The 23,655-nt window shown below is 44.3% G+C and overlaps 3 protein-coding genes and 1 long non-coding RNA gene across 7 annotated transcripts in view, besides 3 other annotated features; 3 read left to right on the top strand and 1 right to left on the bottom strand.

Annotated features, from left to right (window-relative positions):
* The window catches only part of DNAAF4 (dynein axonemal assembly factor 4), a 90,480-nt gene extending 78,871 nt beyond the window's left edge, over nt 1-11,609 (top strand). Inside the window, exon 9 of the mRNA NM_001033560.2 lies at nt 11,231-11,609. Coding sequence (NP_001028732.1) covers nt 11,231-11,329 — 99 coding nt within the window. The 3' untranslated portion in view covers nt 11,330-11,609. The remainder of the gene's footprint in view (nt 1-11,230) is intronic.
* DNAAF4-CCPG1 (DNAAF4-CCPG1 readthrough (NMD candidate)) overlaps nt 1-23,655 on the top strand; it is a 143,362-nt gene that overhangs the window by 69,221 nt on the left and 50,486 nt on the right. The gene's annotated exons all lie outside the window — the stretch shown is intronic.
* On the bottom strand, nt 10,566-20,869 carry PIERCE2 (piercer of microtubule wall 2). Its single transcript, NM_001198784.2, has 2 exons — nt 20,578-20,869; nt 10,566-11,141 (listed from the first exon to the last, which is right to left on the bottom strand). The coding sequence occupies exons 1-2, from the start codon at nt 20,593-20,595 to the stop codon at nt 10,794-10,796; spliced, it is 366 nt and encodes a 121-aa protein (NP_001185713.1). The 5' UTR covers nt 20,596-20,869; the 3' UTR covers nt 10,566-10,793.
* Nucleotides 20,626-20,825: an enhancer, noted in NCBI's record as "active region_9447". NCBI's record gives its function as "activates an Ori minimal core promoter by ATAC-STARR-seq in GM12878 lymphoblastoid cells {active_cell/tissue: GM12878}" and the evidence as "EXISTENCE:reporter gene assay evidence [ECO:0000049][PMID:35858748]".
* Nucleotides 20,876-21,145: an enhancer, noted in NCBI's record as "active region_9446". NCBI's record gives its function as "activates an Ori minimal core promoter by ATAC-STARR-seq in GM12878 lymphoblastoid cells {active_cell/tissue: GM12878}" and the evidence as "EXISTENCE:reporter gene assay evidence [ECO:0000049][PMID:35858748]".
* CCPG1 (cell cycle progression 1) overlaps nt 21,005-23,655 on the top strand; it is a 53,121-nt gene continuing 50,470 nt past the window's right edge. For 3 of the 4 annotated variants that reach the window (NM_001204451.2, NM_001204450.2, NM_020739.5), the window contains exon 1: nt 21,005-21,143. The gene's annotated coding sequence lies outside the window, so the exon portion shown is untranslated. Of the gene's footprint in view, nt 21,518-23,655 lie in introns of all 4 variants that reach the window. The other variant, NM_004748.6, reaches the window with a different exon arrangement.
* Nucleotides 21,506-21,785: an enhancer, noted in NCBI's record as "active region_9445". NCBI's record gives its function as "activates an Ori minimal core promoter by ATAC-STARR-seq in GM12878 lymphoblastoid cells {active_cell/tissue: GM12878}" and the evidence as "EXISTENCE:reporter gene assay evidence [ECO:0000049][PMID:35858748]".

Raw genomic sequence — 23,655 nt, 5'->3', positions numbered from 1 at the left:
ATTTTTAGTAAAGACAGGGTTTCATCATGTTGGCCAGGTTGGTCTCGAACTGCTGACCTCAGGTGATCCACCCGCCTCGGCCTCCCAAAGTGCAGGGATTACAGGCATGAGCCACCGCGCCCGGCCTTATTTATTTATTTTTGAGATGTAGTCTGGCTCTGTAACCCAGGCTTTAGTGCAGTGGTGCAATCTCGGCTCACTGCAACCTCCGTCTCCTGGGTTCAAGCAATTCTCCTGCCTCAGCCTTCCAAGTAGCTGGGATTACAGGTGCGTGCCACCACATCTGGCTAATTTTTGTATTTTTAGTAGAGACGGGGTTTTACCATGTTGGCCAGGCTGGTCTCGAACTCCTGACCTCAAGTGGTCTGCCTGCCTCAGCCTCCCAAAGTGCTGGGATTATAGGCAAGACCCCCCGCGCCTGGCCTAACAAATTTAGTTTAAAGGTCTAATTGGCCTTTATCAGTGACTCATGAATCAAGCAGCATCTTATATAAAGATTTAGAAGAGACACTGCTAGAGGTGGCAGAATAAAATGGCCTTTGCAAAATTATGATTAAGACAGTGAAAGAGGCTGGGCGCAGTGGCTCAAGCCTGTAATCCCAGCACTTTGGGAGGCTGAGGCAGGCAGATCACAAGGTCAGGAGATCGAGACTATCCTGGCTAACATGGTGAAACCCCCCTCTCCACTAAAAATACAAAAATTTAGCCAGGCGTGGTGGCAGGCGCCTGTAGTCCCACCTACTCGGGAGGCTGAGGCAGGAGAATGGCGAGAACTCGGGAGGCGGAGGTTGCAGTGAGCCGAGATTGTGCCACTGTACTCCAACCTGGGTGAAAGAGCAAGACTCCATCTCAAAAAAAAAAAAAAAAAAAAAAAAAAAAGAAAAAAAAGACAGTGAGAGAGATTTAACTTAACTGAATTTATCTTGCTTTTAACCTCCAAGCTGTCCTTGTTCATTCCTGGGTGTAGGCTGAACTAACTTTAAAAAACTTAGTGTATAGTTTAAACAAAGACAGTGACAGTCCTTTCCCAAAGCCGACCTCCTTCTTGCCTGGGGACGGAATTGCCTTTGTAGGACTAACATTAGCCACAAGATTAAAAATTATAGTTTATGCTGGGCATGGTGGCTCATGCCCATAATCCCAGCACTTTGGGACACTGAGGCAGGTGGGTCACTTGAGGTCAGGAGTTAGAGAGCAGCCTGGCCAACATGGTGAAACCCTGTGTCTACTAAAAATACAAAAATTAGCCGGGCATGGTGGCAGGTGCTTGTAATCCCTAGCTACTTGGGAGGCTGAGGCAGGAGAATCACTTAAAACTGGGAGGTGAAGGTTGCAGTGAGCGGAGATTGGGCCATTGCACTACGGCCTGGGTGACAGGAGTGAAACTCCATCTCCAAAAAAATTACGGTTTAGAAGTCATACTGCTGGAGGCCAGGCGCGGTGGCTCATGCCTGCAATCCCAGCACTTTGGGAGGCCGAGGCGGGTGGATCACCTGAGGTCGGGAGTTCGAGACCAGCCTGACCAACATGGAGACACCCTGTCTGTACTAAAAATACAAAATTAGCTGGACCTGGTGGCGCTTTCCTGTAATCCCAGCTACTCGGGATGCTGAGGCAGGAGAATCCCTTGAACCCGGGAGGCGGAGGTTGCGGTGAGCTGAGGTGGCGCCATTGCACTCCAGCCTGGACAAGAAGAGCGAAACTCCATCTCAAAAAAAAAAAGAAGTCATACTGCTGGAGGCTACAAAATTCTGACCCTCCCTAAACTGCTCCTAAGATCAGTGTTTACAATATTTTGCAGACCCTGCACTTAATGAATCAGCTGGCACCACCCAGATCAATAAACTGACTCATCTAATCTTGTGGCCCCCCCAACCAGGAACTAACTTAGCACAAGAAAACAGCTCCAATCTTTAATTTCATCTCTAACCAATGAGCCACTCCTGGCTCACCAGCTTCACCTCACCCACCAAGTTGTCTTTAAAAACTCTGCTCCCTGGCTGGGCGCGGTGGCTCACGCCTGTAATCCCAGCACTTTGGGAGGCTTAGGCGAGTGGATCACGAGGCCAGGAGTTCAAGAACAGCCTGGCCAAGATGGTGAAACCCCGTCTCTACTAAAAAAACAAAAAAATCAGCCGGGTGTGGTGGCGGGCACCTGTAATCCCAGCCACTCGGGAGGCTGAGGCAGAGAATTGCTTGAACCCAGGAGGCGGAGGTTGCAGTGAGCTGAGATCGGGCCACTGCACTCCAGCCTGGGCGACAGAGCGAGACTGTCTCAAAACAAACAAACAAACAAAAAAAAACAAAAAAACTCTGGTCTTCTGCACAGCTGGTTCTGTGTGAATTACTCTTTCTCTGTTGCAATTTCCGTGTCTTAATAAATTGGCTCTGTCTAGGCAGCAGGCAGAGTAAACCCCTTTGGGGGTTACAAAAACAATTGGTATTTATAGGGTAGCTGAAGCAGGAACAAGAAACAGCATAATACAAAAAGTGGGTTGGTTGATGTAACTTCAGATCACTTTCCTTGCAAGAGTTAAAACAGTGAGGACTTCCCTATCCTGCCAGCTAAAAGGGGCCTGTTTGGGTATTTGGCTATCTTCTCTCTCATGATTTATCAGAAGATCAGATAAACAACTAAATTTTGGGCCAGGCTCAGTGGCTCATGCCTGTAATTCCAGCACTTTGGGAGGCTGAGATGGGCGGATCACCTGAGGTCAGGGGTTCGAGACCAGCCTGGCCAATCCCAGCTCCACTAAAAATACAAAAATTAGCCGGACATGGTGGCAAGCACCTGTAATCCCAGCTACTCAGGAGTCTGAGGCAGGACAATGACTGAGACAGTGAAAGAGAGCTAACCTAACAGACTCCATCTTGGTTCTAACCTTTAAGCTGTCCTTGTTCCTTCCTGTGCATAGGCTGAACTAACTTTGGGAGGAACTTAGTTTATAGATTATAGTTGGAAACAAAGATGTTAACAACCTTTCTCCAAAACCTTTTCCTTCCTGCCTGGGGATTAGACTGCCTTTGTAGGACTAAGAAATTAGCCACAAGATTAGAAATTATGGTTTAGGAGTCATGCCGTTGGAAGTTACAAGATTCTGACCCTCACTAAACTGCTCCTAAGATCAGTGCTTGAGATATTTTGCAGACCCTGCACTTGCTGGATCAGCTGGCACCACCTAGCTCAATAAACTGGCTCATCCCATCTTGTGACTTCCACCCAGGAACTGACTCAGTGTAAGAGGACAGCTTCAATTCCTATTGATTTCATCTACCTAACCAATCAGCACTCCTGGCTCACTGGCTTCCCCCCACCCACCAAGTTGTCCTTAAAAACTCTGATTCCCAAATGCTTGGGCAGTCTGATTTGATTAGTAATAAAACGCTGGTCTCCTGCATAGCTGGCTCTGTGTGAATTACTCTGTCTCTGTTGCAGTTCCCCTGTCTTGATAAATTGGCTCTGTCTAGGCAGCAGGCAAGGTCAACCCATTGGGCAGTTACACTAGCGCAAGAGGTTCAGTCCAAATCAGTGGCCTTCCATACATTTTATTTAACACATCCCAGAAAGAGGTTGTGAATTACATCAAGCAAAAGGGTTCTGTCCTACACCAGGTTTGGGATGATTTTTATTTTCCACACGTTAGCTCTTTGCTGACAGAGGTCAAAATATTAGTCCTAATACAGAGATATTGTCTAATAGTTTAGTGTTATATAAACCTATTCTGTCTTGGTTCCCTAGTGTAGAAGAAAATCAGAGTTGAACAGTAAAGTGAAAAAAAAAATGCTTTTACTCAGTAACTTATAATAAGGAAAAAGAGACCTCAGCATGGAACGAGGCTTAGTTCTTTTCATTCCTGTGAGGCCTGAGAATAAAAAATGAAAAAGAACTAGGCTCAGTTCCAAATATGGCATGGACAAGTAGGGGTTTATAGCCAAGGAGTAGGTTGGGTAATGAAGGTGGTCAGTGGATGGAAAATTACCAAGAGAAAACATTAGGGGTTAGAGGAATTCTGGTTAAATTGACCTAACAGGATTCTTGCTGAAGACAGGCCAGGTTGATCAGTTATCACCGGGGGGATGGTAGGGAATGAGGAATCTGGTCAAATATCAAGGGTGATCAGATATTGATGGTGGGGATTCTGGCTAAAGGAACTTGGCAGGATTCTTGCCATGACTGGGCTCTTAAGAGCAAAGTATGTGGCTGAGCGTGATGGCTCACGCCTGTAATCCCAGCACTTTGGGAGGCCGAGGTGGGCGGATCAACTGAGGTCAGGAGTTCAAGATCAGCCTGACCAACATGGAGAAACCCCATCTCTACTAACAATACAAAATTAGCCAGGTGTGGTGGCACATGCCTGTAATCCCAGCTACTCAGGAGGCTGAGGCAGGAGAATTGCTTGAACCTGGGAGGTGACGGTTGTGGTGAGCCGAGAATGCGCCATTGCACTCCAGCAGCCTGGGCAACAAGAGCAAAACTCCATCTCCAAAAAAAAAGCAAGGTACAGCCGGGCACGGGGTCTCACGCCTGTATTCCCAGCACTTTGGGAGGCTGAGGCAGGTGGATGATGAGGTCAGGAGTTGGAGACCAGCCTGACCAACATGGTGAAACCCTGTCTCTACTAAAAATACAAAACTTAGCTGGGCATGGTGGCGCATGCCTGTAATCCCAGGTACTCAGGAAGCTGAGGCAGGAGAATCGCTTGAACCTGGGAGACAGAGGTTGCAGTGAGCTGAGATCGTGCCACTGCACTCTAGCCTGGATAAAGAGCAAGGTGCAAGGATGGGGCCTAGTCAAAAAAGTGGTTCACAGGAGCCTATCTAGAGTTTGGTCAAGGAGAGACCTCTTAATCACTAGCAAGCCAACTGCTTTCCAACAAATTTCATCCATGTGGGAAATAAGGGCAAAGGATTTTGCACATGCCATCTAGGGAAAAAGTAGGTGCCTTACTTCATTTTCCACTGCTGTATCAGAATACCACAGACTAGGTAATTTATAAAGGACAGAGATTTATTTGGTTCATGGTTCTGCATGCTGGGCAGTCAAGATTAAGGGACTACATGCATCTGGTGAAGACCTTCTTGCTATATGATAACATGGCAGAATGTATCACATAGTAAGACAGCATGCAAGAAGAAAGGAAAGGAAAAGGGGGCTGAACTCCCCTCTTTTATAACTAAACCCAGTCCTGCAATAACTAACTCACTTCTGTATTAACAACTTTAATTTATTCAAGAGTATGGTGTCCCCATGACCTAATAGTCTCTTTTGTGTGTGTGACAGAGTCTTGCTTTGTCACCCAGGCTAGAGTGCAGTAGTGTGATGTAGGCTTACTGCAACCTCCACCTCCTGGGTTCAAGTGATTCTCCTGCCTCAGCCTCCCAAGTAGCTGAGATTACAGGCATGCGCCACCATGCCCGGCTAATTTTGGTATTTTTAGTAGAGATGGCTTTTCACCATGTTGCCCAGGCTGGTCTCAAAACTCCCGACCTCTGGCGATTTGCCCACCTTGGCCTCCCAAAATGCTGGGATTACAGGTGTGAGACACTGTGCCTGGCCTATTTTTGTATTTTTTAATAGAGACAGCATTTCACCATATTGGCCAGCCTGGTCTCGCACTCCTTATCTTAAGTGATCCACCGGCCTTAGCCTCCCAAAGTGCTGAGATTGCAGGTGTGAGCCACCGCGCTGGCTTTACTTTAGCTTTTTTAGTCCATATTAAGGACTAACATGACTCTCTAGTTATCTTCAGCTATATTTACATCTGATTGCTGTAGGTCAGCAGTTCTCAAAATGTGTTCTAATCAGAATACAAATACTCTGGTCAGCATGGTGGCTCACACCCATAATCCCAACACTTTGGGAGGTGGTGGGTTATGCCTATAATCCCAGCACTTGGGAGGAGGTGGGAGGATAACTTGAGCCCAGGAGTCCAAGACTAACCTAAGCAACATAGCGAGACCCCCATCTCTACAAAAAATAGAAAAAAAGTTAGCCAGGCATGGTGGTGCATGACTGTAGTCCTAGCTACTTGGGAGGCTGAGGTTGGAAAATCGCTTGAGCCGGGGAAGTCGAGGTTGAGGTTACAGTGAGCTGTGCTTGTGTCATTGCGCTCCAGCCTGGGTGACAGAGGGAGACCCTGACTCAAAAAGAATACAAAATATGCTATATTATATCATATCTTAAAAAAAAAAAAACTTTTGGCTCTACATCTAGCTATTGCCCCATTTATCTGTTCAGTGTGCAGCAAAACTACTTAAAATTAGTTTTGAGTTTTTCTGTTCTTTCTTATTCCAATAAAGTTTTCCTCTCTACCGCTTCTTCTTGTAGAGAGGAATACATTTATTTATTTATTTATTTATTTATTTTTGAGACGGAGTTTTGCTTGTCACCCAGGCTGGAGTGCAATGTCGTGATCTTGGCTCATTGCAAACTCTGCCTCCTGGGTTCAAGCGATTCTCCTGCCTCAGCCTCCCGAGTAGCTGGGATTACAGGCTTCCACCATCACACCTGGCTAATTTTTGTATTTTTAGTAGAGATGGAGTTTCACCATGTTGGCCAGGTTGGTCTCAAACGCCTGACCTCAGGCGATCTGCCCACCTCAGCCTCCCAAAGTTCTGGGATTACAGGTGTGAGCCTTCGAGCCTGGCCTTGTTGAAATAATTCTGTTTGAAGTCATCCATGACCTCTGATTTGCCTAATCAAAGGTCAGTTCTCAATTCATATGCTATATCTCCCAAGATAATTTCACACTGCTGGGTCATTCCCTCTCCTTGAAACAAGCTGGGCTTCCAGGCCTCACAGTCTTCTAATTTCCTCTTTCTTCAGTAGTCACTCCTTCTTGGTCTCATTTGTTTCTTCTTGTTCTTTGCCTTGACCTCTAAATGGTGGTTTTCCCTAAAGCATAGTCCTCAGGTCTGTTTTCTACCTACACTTTGTAGTCTTATCTGGTTTAATCATTTTAAATAACATGTTCCAAGTGATAATCTTCAATTTGGGCTACTCCCTTGAATTCAAGTTGTATATTCAGTTGCCTTACATCAACTTGACTTTCCTCAGATGTTCTCTTAACCTCCTTTAGAGGGTGTGGTCAGACATCTCCTTATCAGAAACCTTCCCTTTCCACCTACCTAAAGTAACTCCTTGCTGAAGTACTCACTTTCCTCCTAACTCTATTTTATGTTTTTTCCCGTAACACTTATCACTTGGCATGTTCTATACATCTAGCCATATATATTTACATAGTTACCTATGTATGTTATCATGTTATTTATGCATATATTCATGTGTATTTTTATTTGTAAATATATAAAAATATGTATTTATACATGCTTTTTGGTCTGTTTTCTCCTGCTGGGATTCATTAGAATCTAAACTCCATTAGGACTAGCTTCTAGTGCCTAGTATAGTCCTGGGACCTTTATTATTATTATTATTATTATTATTATTATTATTATTATTATTATACATTTTTTTGAGACGGAGTTTCCCTCTTGTTGCCCAGGCTGGAGTGCAATGGTGTGATATCGGCTCACCGCAACCTCCGCCTCTGGGGTTCAAGAGATTCTTCTGCCTCAGACTCCCAAGTAGCTGGGATTACAGGCATGCGCCACCATGCCAGCTAATTTTTTTTGTATTTTTAGTGGAGATGGGGTTTCTCCATATTGGTCAGGCTGGTCTTGAACTCCTGACCTTAGGTGATCTGCCTGCCTCAGCCTCCCGAAGTACTGGGATTACAGGCGTGAGCCACCATGCCCAGCCAGTCCTGGGACTTTAATAGGCACTGAATGACTGTGTATATAATGAAATTCCAGATGATATGCTTGATTTTCAGCTACTTATCCTGATAATTTTATTATTTTTTAGATGAAGTCTCCCTCTGTCACTCAGGTTGGAGTGCAGTGGCATGATCTCAGCTCACTGCAACCTCCACCTCCCAGGTTAAAGAGATTCTTGTGCCTCAGCCTCTGGAGTAGCTGGGATTACAGGCATGCACCACCATGCCTGGCTAAGCATTTTGTATTTTTAGTAGAGATGTGGTCTCACCATGTTGCCCAGGCTTGCCTTGAACTCCTGGCTTCCTGTAATCGGACCACCTCGGCCTCTCAAAAGTGCTGGGATTTTAAGTGTGAGCCACTGTGCCTGGAGTATCCTGAGAATTTTTTTTTTTTTTTTTTTGAGATAGTCTCACTCTGTTGCCCAGGCTGCAGTGCAGTGGTGTGATCTTGGCTCACTGCAACCTCTGCCTCCTGGGTTCAAGCGATTCTCCTGCCGCAGCCTCCTAAGTAGCTGGGACTATAGGCACACACCACCACGCCTGGCTAATTTTTTGTATTTTTAGTAGAGACGGGGTTTTGTCATGTTGGCTAGGCTGGTCTCGACCTGCTGACCTCAAGTGATCTGCCCGTCTCGGCCTCCCAAAATGCTGGGATTACAGGTGTAAGCCACCGTGCCCGGCCAATCCTGAGAATTTAGCAACAACAAAAATGACCGAACAGTGCACCACTGCCATAGGTAGGAATTTTAGGTTAGTATCTAGATTCTACATATAAAAAGGTAAATTCACTTGCCATGAATTGGGCACCTGCAGTGAAGGGGGAAAATGGTTTGTATGGTTTATACTGCAAGAACAGGCTAATAAACTAAAATGTTATTGCATAATTCACTTGGACATCTTGTGCAGTGCCCCACTATTTGATGTTTTGAGGAAGTGAAAAAAATTAATTTTTCTTCTTGCTTGTGCCATTACTAAATATCAGTTTTGGGGGGGTATTTGGAAGAAGTTGATGAGTCTGCAGAGTTTGAGCTGTTTCCTTACATCAAGCAAATTTTATGATTAGAAGATTCAACTTTTATAATCCCCTTATGACTCACAAATTTATTCTTTCTAATTGATGGTAATATCCTGAACTGAAACCAACAGGGGAAAATAACAATGATTTTTTTTTTTTCCAGAAAGATACTCAGACCCAATTATCAACATATGGTTTAAACAGATGGCAGCTGAAATAAATCTGTGTGTAGTAGAATCAAAGATTTTAAAGAATTGTGTAGCCTGTCACCTGCCACTGCTCACACTGTGTTGAAGATATATAAAATTAATTGCATTTATAAAAATATACCACATTGTCTCACATCTTTGTACTTTTATCCATATAGTTTCCTCTCCCTAGAATAGCCTTCTTTTGATTTAGCTTTATCTTCTCCAGGACACTTCTCCTGATCTCTCTGGTCTCAATTTGAGCAATTCTGTGTCTGTCTGAAAGGCCTGTGCATACTGCCTACTTTACATTACAAAAATTATCACATATTAATTTGCTAATCTCATTCTCCCAAAATACTTTTTTTTATTCTTTTTTTTTGAGACAGAGTTTTGCTCTTGTTGCCCAGGTTGGAGTGCAATGGCGTGATCTTGGCTCACTGCAACCTCCACCTCCCAGGTTCAAGTGATTCTCCTGCCTCAGCCTCCCAAAGTAGCTGGGATTACAGGCACCCGCCGCCATGCCCAGCTAATTTTTTTGTATCTTAGTTGAGATGGGGTTTCACCATTTTGGCCAGGCCGGTCGGTCTTAAACTCCTGACCTCAGGTGATCCACCAGCCCCGGGCTCCCAATGTGCTGGGATTACAGGTGTGAGCCACCGCACCCGGCCAATATTGTTAATTAAAACAAAAATCACTGTCTTTTATTTCTGTATCTCTATTTGCATAGTACAGTCTGCCATCAGTCGGGGTTCAAAAAATATTTGCTCAATCTATCAATAAATTACAAGTTCTCTCTTCCACCAGCCTAGCAGTGGGAACTAACACAATGTTAAAAGTGGGAAATTGGCTGGGCAGTGTGGCTCACTCCTGTAATCCCAACACTTTGGGAGGCCGAGGCAGGATGACTGCTTGAGGACAGGAGTTTGAGATCAGCCTGGGCAACACAGTGAGACTCCATCTACACACACACACACACACACACCCCACAAATTAGCTAGGGGCATGGTTGTTGGTGCCTGTAGTCCCAGCTAGTCGAGAGGCTGAGGTGGGGGATAGTTTGAGCCCAGGAGTCCAAGGTTGCAGTGAACCATGATCATGCCACTGCATTCCAGCTTGGGTGAGATAAGGTGAAACCATTTCTCCAAAAATAAAAAATATAAGTGTGTTGGCTGGGCACAGTGACTCACACCTGTAATCTCAGCACTTTGGGTGGCCGAGGCAGGCGGATCACCAGGTCAGGAAATTGAGACCATCCTAGCTAACAGGGTGAAACCCCGTCTCTACTAAAAATACAAAAAATTAGCTGGGTGTAGTGGCGAGTGCCTGTAATCCCAGCTACTCAGGAGGCTGAGGCAGGAAAATCGCTTGAACCTGGGAGGCGGAGGTCGCAGTGAGCAACCACTGCACTCTAACCTGGGCGACAGAGCGAGACTCCAACTCACTCAAAAAAAAAAAAAAAAGTGTGAAATTGTTGGTCAGAAGCTTCCTTAAATCAATTTTTTTTTCCTTACAGCTCCTGTGTTCCTTTGTCTTGATAAGTATACTCAATAGATAAGTAAATAAAATATGAAAGGCTTTTGAAGCTTTTGGATTACATGGACTAAAACACTTTCTACCTTTTATTTTGCTATTTTGAACATATTTTCATTTAAAAAGTCACTGTCATGTAGTTATCAGTTGAAATACTTTATTTAACTTATTTTAAAAATTGATTCAAAACTTTTTATCTTCTTTATTAGGTATTCTACCCTTAGATTTAACACTCATTTTTCCCGAGTATATTTTCTCTTCAATATACAAAGGAATATATTTTCATAGAGTGTGTTGAATATTAGGAAAATCAAGAGTTCTGGTTCTGTCAGGTGCAGTATTTAGAGTGTTATTTTGATAAAATCCAGTTGCTCTGATATGGCTTGAAAATACTTGCTCCTTTGGAGTATAATTGCAGGGGAAAAACTGTGGAATAGGTAGAAATTCACCATAATGACTTGAATTGGTTTTATACATAATCATTTGAGGTTTTGATAGTGAGGTGGCTGTCTGGAGTGTCTTTGGATCCAACATACATGAAAACACAGGATTGCCAGGGTTCACACAAGGAGGCAGTTGTTCAGATTTCATTTCTGTGTCTGAATTTGAAGGTGAAGTACTTTTCTTATCCTAAAAGATAAACACATAAAATCATTCTCCATTATAAAGTTCTGAAAAAAAAAAAATTTAATTCAGTCCCACCCACTTCCCTTTTTCAGGAATTCTGTTCTCTTGAGGGCATTGAATGTCAGGCCTCTGAGCCCAAGCTAAGCCATCATATCCCTAGTGACCTGCACGTATACATCCAGATGGCCTGAAGCAAGTGAAGAATCACAAAAGAAGTGAAAATGGCCGGTTCCTGCCTTAACTGATGACATTACCTTGTGAAATTCCTTCTCCTGGCTCAGAACCTCCCCCACTGAGCACCTTGTGACCCCTGCCCCTGCCCGCCACAGAATAACCCCCTTTGACTGTAATTTTCCATTACCTACCCAAATCCTATAAAACGGCCCCACCCCTATCTCCCTTCGCTGACTGTCTTTTCGGACTCAGCCCGCCTCCACCCAGGTGATTAAAAAGCTTTATTGCTCACACAAAGCCTGTTTGGTGGTCTCTTCTCTTGACGTTGAAGACTACCCTTAAAATCACATACACCTGTACACAGAGCAAAGTTGTCAAAAATATGCTAAGTTACCTTTTTAAACATTCTGTACTAGAACTATGAGAATTTATTTAAAAATCTGTAAATCATAGGGAAAAATCTGTAAAAGTCATAGTTAGAAGAGGAAGTACAGCTTGATTTTAGAGTGAGAAAGGAACAAGATAAACATCCAGGGTTAGCCTGGGTATGTGGGCAGCCATTAAATAACTAATTACATAGCTAACTGAATAATTACAATTGTGATAACTGCTATGAAGAAAAAAAAATACAAGATATTAATGAAGACAGAATGGGGGTTCTTATCTAGTGTTGGGGGTTAGGGAAAGCCATTCCACTGAAGTACCATTCAATCTAAGATTGACTATAAGGCAAGGAAGTAAAAGATAGAAGTGGGGACAAAGTATGGCAAAAGTCAAGTAAATTAGGGTGAAAATATCATGAGATCAGAATAGAGAGCCAGGGGTTAGATCTCTTAGGGTTTTGTTGACTGTGTTTAAAATCTGAATCTTTATTGTAAAAGCAATGAAAAACTATTGAAGGGTTTTAAGGAGAGGAGTGACATGAGGTAATATAATTCTAGTAAAATTACTTTGGCTGTTGTTAGGGCCTGTGTGAATGTGGTGAGGAGCTGCAGTAGTCCATGTGAGTAATGATGACAATATATAGTAGGTGGTAGCATGGAGATGGAGCAAATTTGTTTGTTTTGTTTTGTTTTGTGTGTTTGTTTTTTGAGACAGAGTCTCGCTCTGTCATCCAGGCTGGACTGCAATGGTGCAGTCTCGGCTTACTGCAACCTCCGCCTCCCGGGTTCAAGCAATTCTCCTGCCTCAGCCTCCCAACTAGCTGGGATTATGGGAGCTCACCACGACAACCAGCTAATTTTTTTTTATTTTTAGTAGAGACAGGGTTTCACCATGTTGGCCAGACTGGTCTCGAACTCCTGACCTCAGGTGATCCACCTACCTTGGCCTCACAAAGTGTTGGGATTACAGGTGTGAGCCACCGCGCCCAGCCTATGGAGCAAATTTGAAATATATTTTGGAAGTAGAATTCACAGGATCTCATGATTGATTGGAGGTGGGTGGTGAGGGAAAAGGACAGATCTAGGATAACTTCCAGGTTTCTGGACAAACACTTGGGCGGATGGTGGTGCCATTTACTACAATGTACTACAATGTAATATGTAAATTAAATATATATATGTAGTTTTATATATAGATGATACATAATTTTGGCACTGAAAAGCACTTTGCATTGATGATGGCTTGATAAATTAATATAACAAGTTTCGTCCAGGCGCAATGGCTCACACCTGTAAATCCCAGCACTTTGGGAGGCCAAGGTGGGCGGATCACGAGGTCAAGAGATTGAGACCATCCTGGACAACATGGTGAAACCCCGTCTCTACTAAAAATACAAAAATTAGCTGGTTGTGGTGGGATGTGCCTGTAGTCCCAGCTACTCGGGAGGCTGAGGCAGGAGAGGATCCCTTGGACCCATGAGGCAGAGGTTGCAGTGAGCCAAGATCACGCCACTGCACTCCAGCCTGGTGACAGAGCAAAAGACTCTATCTCTCTCTCTCTCTATATATATAACAATGTTTAAAAAAACCAACAAACTGCATGAAAAACTCTAAAAAATGTCATGACTGAATCCTGAAATTCTGATTGTGAATTCTATCCTAAGAAACTTTATTGTAGAAAAATTTAATTCACAGCATTACTTACAAAAGAACTGAAATGTGTACTGATTTAGATGGAAGTTAATTTTAATTCTAATGCTAATGCCAAAAATACTAAGGGAGAAGACCACCCCTCATATTGTCTTATGCCCAATTTCTGCCTCCAAAGAAAGAAGAGGTAAAAACTAAAAGGCAGAAATGAAATCCACAGGCAGACAGCCCGGCACTACACCCTGGGCCTGGTAGTTAAAGATCGACCCCTGACCTAATCGGTTATGTTATCTGTAGAATACAGACATTTTATGGAAAAGCATTGTGAAAATCCCTGTCCTGTTCGGTTCCATTCTAATTACTGGTGCATGCAGCCCCCAGTCACGTACCCGCTGCTTGCTCAATCGATCAGGACTCTCTCACGCGGACCCCCTTAGAGTTGTAAGCCCTTAAGAGGGACGGGAATTGCTCACTCAGGGAGCTAGGTTGTTGGAGACGGGATTCTTGCCGAATGGCCGAATAAAGCCCTTCCTTCCCTTCCCTCTTTTTTTTTTTTTTTTTTGAGACGAAGTTTCACTCTCGTCCCCCAGGCTGGAGTGCAATGGCAGGATCTCAGCTCACTGCAACCTCCGCCTTCCAGGTTCAAGCGATTGTCCTGCCTCAGCCTCCCGAGTAGATGGGATTACAGGCACCTGGCTAATTTTTGTATTTTTAGTGGAGACAGGGTTTCACCATGTTGGCCAGGCTGGTCTCCAACTCCTGACCTTAGGTGATCCACCTGCCTCGGCCTCCCAAAGTGCCGGGATTACAGGCGTGAGCCACCACGCCCGGCCAAGCCCTTCCTTCTTTAACTCGGTGTCTGAGGGGTTTTGTCTGCGGCTTGTCCTGCTACAATACTAATAGAAGTACTTGAAAATAGCTTATTTTCTTAAATAGTTAAGTTTCTTCTGCAACCTTACATTGATGTAAGATAAACGTTCACCCAGCCCTGGTATAATTATGTCAGAATAATTACAAACTGGGTATTCTCTAAAGTGCTGTTAGTATAAATAGACTTTTTGTTTAATAAATTTCACTTTGAGATGGTTCACCTATTAAAAGTTAATAGATGAACAATCAATGTTTTGTTTTTCTTTTTTTTGAGATGGAGTCTCACTCTGTTGCCCAGGCTGGAGTGTAGTGGCGCCATCTCGGCTCACTGCAACCTCCCCATCTTGGGTTCAAGCAATTCTCATGCCTCAGCCTCCCAAGCAGCTGGGATTACAGGCGTGCGCCACCATGCCCAGCTAATTTTTGTATTTTAGTAGAGATGGGGTTTCACCATGTTGGCCAGGCTGGCCTCGGACTTCTGACCTGAGGTGATCCACCCGCCTCAACCTCCAAAAATGATGGGATTACAGGCGTGAGCCACCATGCCCAGCTGGAAAATCTATTAAAAGTTAATGACTTCACTTACTAACTTTTTTGGAAGACTTACAATGACTAATCCTTTATAAATTTAATTTCATTTGCATTTCTAGTTGGGAAAATTACAAATATAAGAACATTTCTAGGCCGAGTGCGGTGGATCACCTGAGGTCAGGAGTCTGAGATCAGCCTGGCCAACATGGTGAAACCCTGCCTCTACTAAAAATACAAAAAATTAGCCAAGCGTGGTGGCACACACCTGTAATCCCAGCTACTCGGGAGGCTGAGGCAGGGGAATTGCTTCAACCCGGGAGGCCAAGGTTGCAGTGATCCGAGATTATGCCACTCACTGACTCCAGCCGGGGCAACAAGAGTGAAACTCTGTCTCAAAAAAAAAAAAAACAAAAAAAAACCAGGCCTGGCGCGGTGGCTCACGCTTGTAATCCCAGCACTTTGGGAAGCTGAGGCGGGCAGATCACAGGGTCAGGAGATCCAGACCATCCTGGCTAACGCGGTGAAACCCTGTCTCTACTAAAAATACAAAGAATTAGCCGGGCGTGGTGGCGGGCGCCTGTAGTCCCAGCTACTCGGGAGGCTGAGGCAGGAGAATGGCGTGAACCTGGGAGATGGAGCTTGCCTTGAGCCGAGATCCTGCCACTGCACTCCAGCCTGGGCGACAGAGCGAGACTCCGTCTCAAAAAAAAAAAAGCATTTCTCTATGTAATATCTTATATCTACTCATATTTTAAATGTACTTAGAGCTGAAAAATAAAAAAAGTCCTAATGAGTTGAAATGAAGCTGATTTAAAATGCTTTCCCCATAAAAACAGTCTTTTTTTTTTTTTTTTTTTGAAACGGAGTTTTGCTCTTGTTGCCCAGGCTGGAGTGCAATGGCGCGATCTTGGCTCACTGCAACCTCTGCCTCCCAGGTTCAAGCGATTCTCCTGCCTCAGCCTCCCGAGTAGCTGGGATTACAGGCATGTGCCACACCAGGCCCAGCTAATTTTGTATTTTTAGTAGAGACAGGGTTTCTCCATGTTGGTCAGGCTGGTCTCAAACTCCCGACCTCAAGTGATCTGCCTGCCTTGGCCTCCCAAAGTGCTGGGATTACAGGCGTGAGACACCACGGCCGGCCCTTAAAAACATTCTTAAAGGGCAGCTTTTAATTAACTGTTTTGGTGTGGAGAAGGGAGAAAGTTTTTCTCTGTCACTCAGGCTAGAGTGCAGTAGTGATCGTAGTTCACTGCAGCCTCAAACTCCTGGATTCCAGTGACCCTCCCAAGTAGCTAGGACTACATGCACACCACCATACCCAGCTAATTTTTATAATTTTTTTTTTTTTTTGAGACGGAGTCTCACTCTTTTGCCCAGGCCGGAGTGCAGTGGCGCGATCTTGGCTCACTGCAAGCTCCACCTCCTGGGTTTACGCCATTCTCCTGCCTCAGCCTCCCGAGTAGCTGGAACTACAGGCGCCAGCCACCGTGCCCGGCTAATTTTTTGTATTTTTAGTAGAGATGGGGTTTCACCGTGTTAGCCAGGATGGTCTCGATCTCCTGACCTCGTGATCCGCCCGCCTTGGCCTCCCAAAGTGCTGGGATTATAGGTGCGCACCACCGCGCCCAGCCTTAATTTTTATAATTTTTTTGTAGGGATGAGGTCTTGCTATGTTGCCCAGGCTGGTCTTGAACTCCTGGTCTCAAGCAATCCTCCTGCCTTGGCTTCCCACAGCACTGGGATTACAGGCATAAGCTACCATATCAATCCCCAGCTTTTAACTTAAAAGTACTATAAAACCATATTCAATCTACTCTTCATCAACTTTTTCTTTTTTTTGAGACAGAGATCTCACTTTGTTGCCCAGGCTGGAGTGCACTGGCTGTTCACAAATGGGATAATAGTGCACTGCAACCTGGAACTCCTGGGCTGAAGTGATCCTCAGGCCTTGGCTTCTCAAGGTGGGACTTCAGGTACATGCCACAGTGTCCAGCTTTCAGTCAATTATTAATGTTCTACCTGAATAGTGTCCCTACTAAAGTTTTTGAAAGTATTTTTCCATGAATAAGGGGACTGAAAATATGAATCAAATATAAAGCAATTTAAACTTGGACAAGTCACTTAGATTCTCTGTGCCTAAAATTTGTTTGTAAAACAGTGGAGCCTGGATTATTTGACCTCTCAGATCTCTTCTACCAACTCCACAGAATTTATTAACCTTATAAACTTGAGGCAGAATCACAGTGTAGTATACTATGTTTTCATGTTTTGCTTTATTTTAATGAGAATCATAAGCGAAAGAGGGCTGGATGTGATATATTGGAAGAGTAGCACAAGGCAGCAACTATGACCTAGGTTCTCATACTTTATCATTTCACCTTTATTTGTATATTATCTGTAAAACTGGTAAATAAAAATCTGCCATAGTTCCTATGGTTGTGGAGATTAAATGAAAGAAAATTTGATGTAAATGGTGAATCACTATATGAATGGGATCAATTTTTTTTTTTTTTTTTTTTTTTTTGTGGAGACAAAGTCTCACTCTGTTGCCCAGTCTGGAGTGCAATGGTGTGATCTTGGCTCACTGCAACCTCTGCCTCCTGGGTTCAAGCAATTCTCCTGCCTTAGCCTCCCAAATCGCTGGGCTTAAAGGCGTGCGCCACCACGCTCAGCTAAATTTATTTATTTTTTTTTGTGAGAAGGAGTTTTGCTCTTGTTGCCCAGGCTGGAGGGCAATGGTGCAATCTCAGCTCACCGCAACCTCCGCCTTCTGGGTTCAAGCCATTCTCCTGCCTCAGACTCCCGAGTAGCTGTGATTACAGGCATGCACCACCATGCCTGGCTAATTGTGTATTTTTAGTAGAGATGGGGTTTCTCCATGTTAGTCAGGTTGGTCTCGAACTCCCAACCTCAGGTGATCCGCCCGCCTCGGCCTCCCAAAGTGCTGGAATTACAAGCGTGAGCCACCGTGCCTAGCCTAATTTTTGTATTTTTAGTAGAGATGGGGTTTCACCATGATGGCCAGGCTGGTTTTGGACTCCTGACCTCAAGTGATCCACCTGCCTCGGCTTCCCAAAGTGTTGGGATTACAGGTGTGAGCCACTGCGCCTGGCCAAATGGAATCAATTTTTATCACTATTTTATTTTATTTTTTGAGATGGAGTTTTGCTCTGTCACCTAAGCTGGAGTGCAGTGGCGCAGTCGCAGCTCATTGTAACCTCTGCGTCCCAGGTTCAAGTGATTCCCCTGCCTCAGCTTCCAGAGTAGCTGGGACTACAGGTGCCTGCCAACACACCTGGCTAATTTTTGTGTTTTTAGTAGAAATGGGGTTTCACCATGTTGGCCAGGCTGTTCCCAAACTCCTGACCTCTGATGATCCGCCTACCTCAGCTTTCCAAAGTGCTGGGACTACAGTCGTGAGCCACCATGCCTCACCAAATTTTATTATTTTCTTTTTTGCAGGTTTACCTCAATGTATGATCTTCCAGAAACAGTTCTGAAACCTACAGGTTAATGACCTTGTATTAGCATAATATGGTTTGCTAATATTCACTTAATACTCATAAGTTTGTAGTTGGCAAAGCTGGAAATAGAACTCAGGTTCACTGAGTGTCATCAATGTTATTCTCATCAGATCTTGCTGTTTATTCTTTTTGAAACTGCTTATTAATTTGCTTTAAATATTAACAACACAGATACTGGATAATAGTAAATCATAAGAATTTTAAAATTTTGATGGTATCTCAACTGATCAGCTTTTCTTAAATTTTCTAGGTTTCCTCAGCACAGGGGAAAGCTTTATAGGTGGAAGGTGGAGGCCCTGTGACTTGCGCAGAAAAGTACCACTGTAATTTACTTTTATGGGCACCTAAGCAGGTTGCCCAGGGCAACTTGTAGATTTTGTTGTTGTTGTTGTTAATACTATCTCCTTCAGTCACTGAGAACTCTTTTTTATTTTTTTATTTTTTGAGATGGAGTTTTGCTCTTGTTGCCTAGGCTGGAGTGCAGTGGCGTGATCTTGGCTCACTGCAACCTCCGCCTCCCGGATTCAAGCGATTCTCTTGCCTCAGCCACCCGAGTAGCTGGGATTATAGGCATGCGTCACCACGCCCGGCTAATTTTGTGTTTTTAGTAGAGATAGTGTTTCTCCATGTTGGTCAGGCTGGTCTCGAACTCTTGAACTCAGGCGATTCGCCTGCCTCGGCCTCCCAGAGTACTGGGCCTTAAATGCTGGAATTATAGGCATGAGCCACCGCGCCCAGCTGAGAACTCTTCTTGTTATCAAATGACCCTCTTTACTACTGGTTCTAGAATTTCGTTCAGCTTTGGCTCAAAACATAATGCAGAAAACGAAATCTAGTAAAAACAGAAGACAAATTAGCTGATAAACTTTGTTGGCATAATTAGTACCATAAAATCTGGAAAAGCTAAATCTTAAATTAAAAATTTTTTAGATTTCCAGGATAATTCACAAATGTTTATAGATTCAGAAACAAAAGGTCCATTGCTTTATACTTTACATCATAGACAACCACTGCAGTTTTCTAATATGGGTTTCACCTTCTTCAAACCTGATATTCTTAAAATGTGGAGTTCAAACTGACTATAGTTAAGAACGAAACAAATAGCCAATACAAAGAATAATAAAAGGATGAGTTCAAATTATCTGCCACATGTCATCAACTTTTATTAAATGATAAAAAGGTTAATTAAAATTGTAAATGATTTTTCAGAAGAAATTACATCTTAAAATTGGCCTGTGAAAGTGGCTTGAAAGGTATAAAAATCTACCAGTAGCTGGTATTAGCTTTCTTAGTAATTTAATTTTCAGTTAGAGAAAGCCAGACCACTTTGACCTTTCGAAGTCCTTTGGTATAGATACATATACATTTAAAAAGATAAATGAAAACAAGCCATTGATTAATAATGCCCATCGCAGAAGCTGTAATTATAAAATTAAGATTTTTTGATGTCACTGTTGATGTTGAATATAGTTAATAGAAAAGCAAAAATAAAAAATAAAAAAGGTCTAATTTTGAGGCACTCTTTTGTCTCTGCTCAGGTCCACCGTCTTCCTTGCTAATGTTTACGTTTATTATTAATTTTTCCATTTATTTATTTACTTTTACCACAATTAGGGGACAGAGAATGAAACCTAAACTTTTTATTGCTTCTGTAAAGAGTGAATATAAATGTAAGATTTTTTTTTTTTGAGACGGAGTTTTGCTCTTGTTGCCCAGGCTGCAGTTCAGTGGCGCAATCTCGGCTCACTGCAACCTCTGCCTCCCAGGTTCAAGCAATTCTGCTGTCTCAGCCTCCCAAGTAGCTGGGATTACAGGCCCGCGCCACCTCTCCTGGCTAATTTTTTGTATTTAGTAGAGACGGAGTTTCACCATGTAGGTCAGGCTGGTCTCGAACTCCTGACCTCAGGTGATCCACCCGCTTCGGCCTCCCAAATTGCTGGGATTACAGGCGTTGAGCCCCGGCGCCCGGCCACCAAATCCTTTTTCAAAACAACTCCCTTCTTTGACACAGTGCAATTTAAATAAGTATACAATTAACAAAGTACGTTTTTCTTGTTCAAAACCATCACTGAACAGTTTGCAACAGTAGGGTATGAATGCATACAATCTCGATGGTCTTTACACCTTCAGAGGCTATTCGGACTTAAGGAAACGTGCATTTACAAGTGTAAATGTAAAAGCTCAGTAGTTGCCTTGTAAAGTGCTTTTCGGGGTTGTGGGGTTGGGGGTGGTAGGAGTAGGTGGTGCCTCAAATTATACTAGCGAATACCAACATTCCCAAACATCTAGCCCTCTGCCTAAACTCACCCGGTTGCGGTCTGTCATTTTCGCTCTTCTTTGTTAATTTTTTCGGCAAAGTCAGTTTTCATGCAGCAGATGGCAAGAAAGCCGGTGAACGCCTAGGGACGTGGCCTTTTAACCGCACCCAATTAAAGCAGCAAACAGAAGATGAATAGCTGGGTGGATCAGTATGTGTAAACCTATCCGTTTAATCCGGGGAGCTGTTTTCCCGGGTGAAACCACGAATTCTTTCTGGAGGTTGCAACTCGTAACCATAGCAACTGGAAGTGGTCGCCGGCTCCCGGATGTTGTGGGGATCTGCGGCCGCCTGGCCCAGCTTCCCGCAGCCGCCCGGCGGCGGCCTGCGCTCCACTTCGGGAGTGGTAGTTCTTCTCTTCACCGCTGCCGGGCAGGAGGCGCAGGCGGGACTACGCGTCACGGCATGCACTGCGGCGCCCAGCCGGTCACCGCCTGCCGGCTGCAGACGCCTGCGAGCAGGTTGTTTTTATAAGAGGCGTCATTGGCGCCCGAGCTGTGACCGCCGCCACTGGGGCAGCCAGCACAATCGGGCGGAGGTGGCGCTGCCCCTTCAGGTACTGTACTAGGCGGGCTTAGACCCCGGGAGGGGGTTTGTGCCGACTGTCTGAGTCCCTGGCCGACACGCTCGGCTCAGTAGAGGAGCAGTGGCGGGGTCCGCCTCCTAGGCTGGGGCTGCTCGGGCGGGGACTTGACGCCTGGTGTCAGCGGCCGCACGGGCGACCTCCTCGGGCCGTGCGCGAGTGCACAGCTCCGGAGGCCCGAGCCGACCCTGGGGCGTCCGGTCCGGTGGTCTTGCAGCCTCCAAACCCCGAGTGCTATACCGAACTGCGCGCCAAGGGTGGGAGAGCTGACGGCCTGGGCCACCCTTCTTCCTTCACTGGGCAGGCTTTGAGGTGCTTGTCGGTCTGGACTGATGAAAATCCATATGGTAAGATGTTATGTGCGTCACCCTGCCGGGTTTAATGCCAGCCTGTCTTTTGATGACATTTGAGCCCCCGTGATGTCAGGAATAGAAAGATTAAATATTAAATAATGCCCGGAGACTTCCGCTAGCACGCCAGCCTGATGATGATCAAATACCTCTCCATATCCTTCTCCAGTTCCAGTGGCCTCCTTTAGCTTTGGTCTCCCTAATCGATTTGTCCTCATTAGCAGCTGTCCCATGCAGTGCCTTGTACGCGTTGTTTATGTTTAGCACTATTGGGAGCGCCAAGTAAGGTATTTTATTGAGTGGTGAAGTTTGCACTGTTCTGCTCTACTTTTATTGAAAAACACAGTTGGGCATTCTTGTAGTTAGAATAGCTAACTATATAGTACTATGAATTTTAGATTTGTCTCCTCCAATCTACAGGATAGTGCTTGAAATATCGCTATTACTGCATCGTATCTTTTAAGATTAGAATCATATTGGGTCCCACACGTCTCAGGGGATATTTATCACACACATCCAGTGTGAATGGTTTACTTTTATTTTCTGAGTTCAGGTCATATAGCAGAAGATGGAGATGGTGAGGGTATTATTTTAATTCATATTTTTTTTTTTTTTGAGAGAGGGTTTCGCTCTTGTTGCCCAGGCTGGAGTGCAGTGGCGCGATCTCGGCTCACTGCAACCTCTGCCTTCCAGTTTCAAACGATTCTCCTGCCTCAGCCTCCCGAGTATCTGGGATTACAGGCGCCCGCCACCACGCCCAGCTAAATTTTGTATTTTTAGTAGAGACGGCGGGGCGGGGGGGGGGGTCTCAACGTGTCGGCCAGGCTGGTCTTGGACTCCTGACCTCGTGATCCGCCCACTTCGGCCTCCCAGAGTGCTGGGATTACAGGCGTGACCCACCGCGCGGGCGTTAATTCATAATTTTTAACCTTTTACGCTGAGGGCGGAATTTCAGTCAAAAAAGCTGATTAAAAATCAGCCCAAATACAATTTAAAGGTGTGGGAAATACTCCTTCTTAGATGAAAACAGTTTAGAAAATAGTGTAATTGCAATTTTGTAAACCATGGAACAAAAAGTGAACATAACTTCTTTTAGAAATGACTTAAAGGGTCCAGAGCGGTGGCTCAGGCTTGTAATCCCAGCACTTTGGGAGGCCCATGCAGGTGGATCACCTGAGGTCAGGAGTTCGAGACCAGCCTGGCCGACACGGTGAAACCCCGTCTCTACTAAAAATACAAAAATTAGCCTGTAAACCCAGCTACTTGGGAGGCTGAAGCAGGAGAATTACTTGAACCCGGGAGGCGGAGGTTGCAGTGAGCCACAAGATCTGGCCACCGCACTCCAACCTGGGTGACAGAGTGAGATTATCTCAAAAAAACAAAAAAAAAAAAACAAAAAAAAAAAAAGAGAAAAAGAAAGAAAAGAAATAAAGGATATTCACAGTTATAAAAGTGTAGATAGTGAAACTAGAAATGATTTTTCTTGTACTTTCCTGTATTTTTCAAGTTTTCTGTAGAAAAAACTTTTAAAAAAGGATGCAAGTATTAACAGCACTTTGAGAGTTTCTATATCATTTTTTTCACTTTCTAGTGGAAAGCCCCACCCTTATGCAAAAAAAAAAAAAAAGCAGCAATTCCAGTTATGGACTCTATGAACATTACTTTAAAAAGAAAATAAAGGCCTAGAGCAGTGGCTCATGCCTGTAATCCCAGGACTTTGGGAAGCCAAGGCAGGCGGATCACTTGAGGTCAGGACTTCAAGGCCAGCCTGGCCAACGTGGCAAAACCCCGTCTCTACTAAAAATACAAAAATTAGCTGGGCATGGTGGCGGATGCCTGTTATCTCAGCTATTCAGGAGGCTGAGGCAGGAGAATCGCTTGAACCCGGGAGGCAGAAGTTGCAGTGAGCCGAGATCATGCCACTGTACTCTAGCCTGGGTGACAGAGTGAGACTGTCTCAAAAACACCAAATAAGCAACAACAGTAAAAAACACAGGCAAAGTCCCTGTTGCTGCATCTGTAGACTATATGAATTTAAGTGTAAATTATTTGGAGAGTAGGGACAATAAATGAAATAGTTGGACTCGAAGAAAATAACAGATCCGACAATTTGTAGCATTTGTAGATCTCATTTT

The sequence above is a fragment of the Homo sapiens genome, chromosome 15 (assembly GCF_000001405.40).
Source record: "Homo sapiens chromosome 15, GRCh38.p14 Primary Assembly".
NCBI lineage: Eukaryota > Metazoa > Chordata > Mammalia > Primates > Hominidae > Homo > Homo sapiens.
Note: the sequence above shows the minus strand (reverse complement) of the source record. Positions and strands in the feature narration are given on the sequence as shown.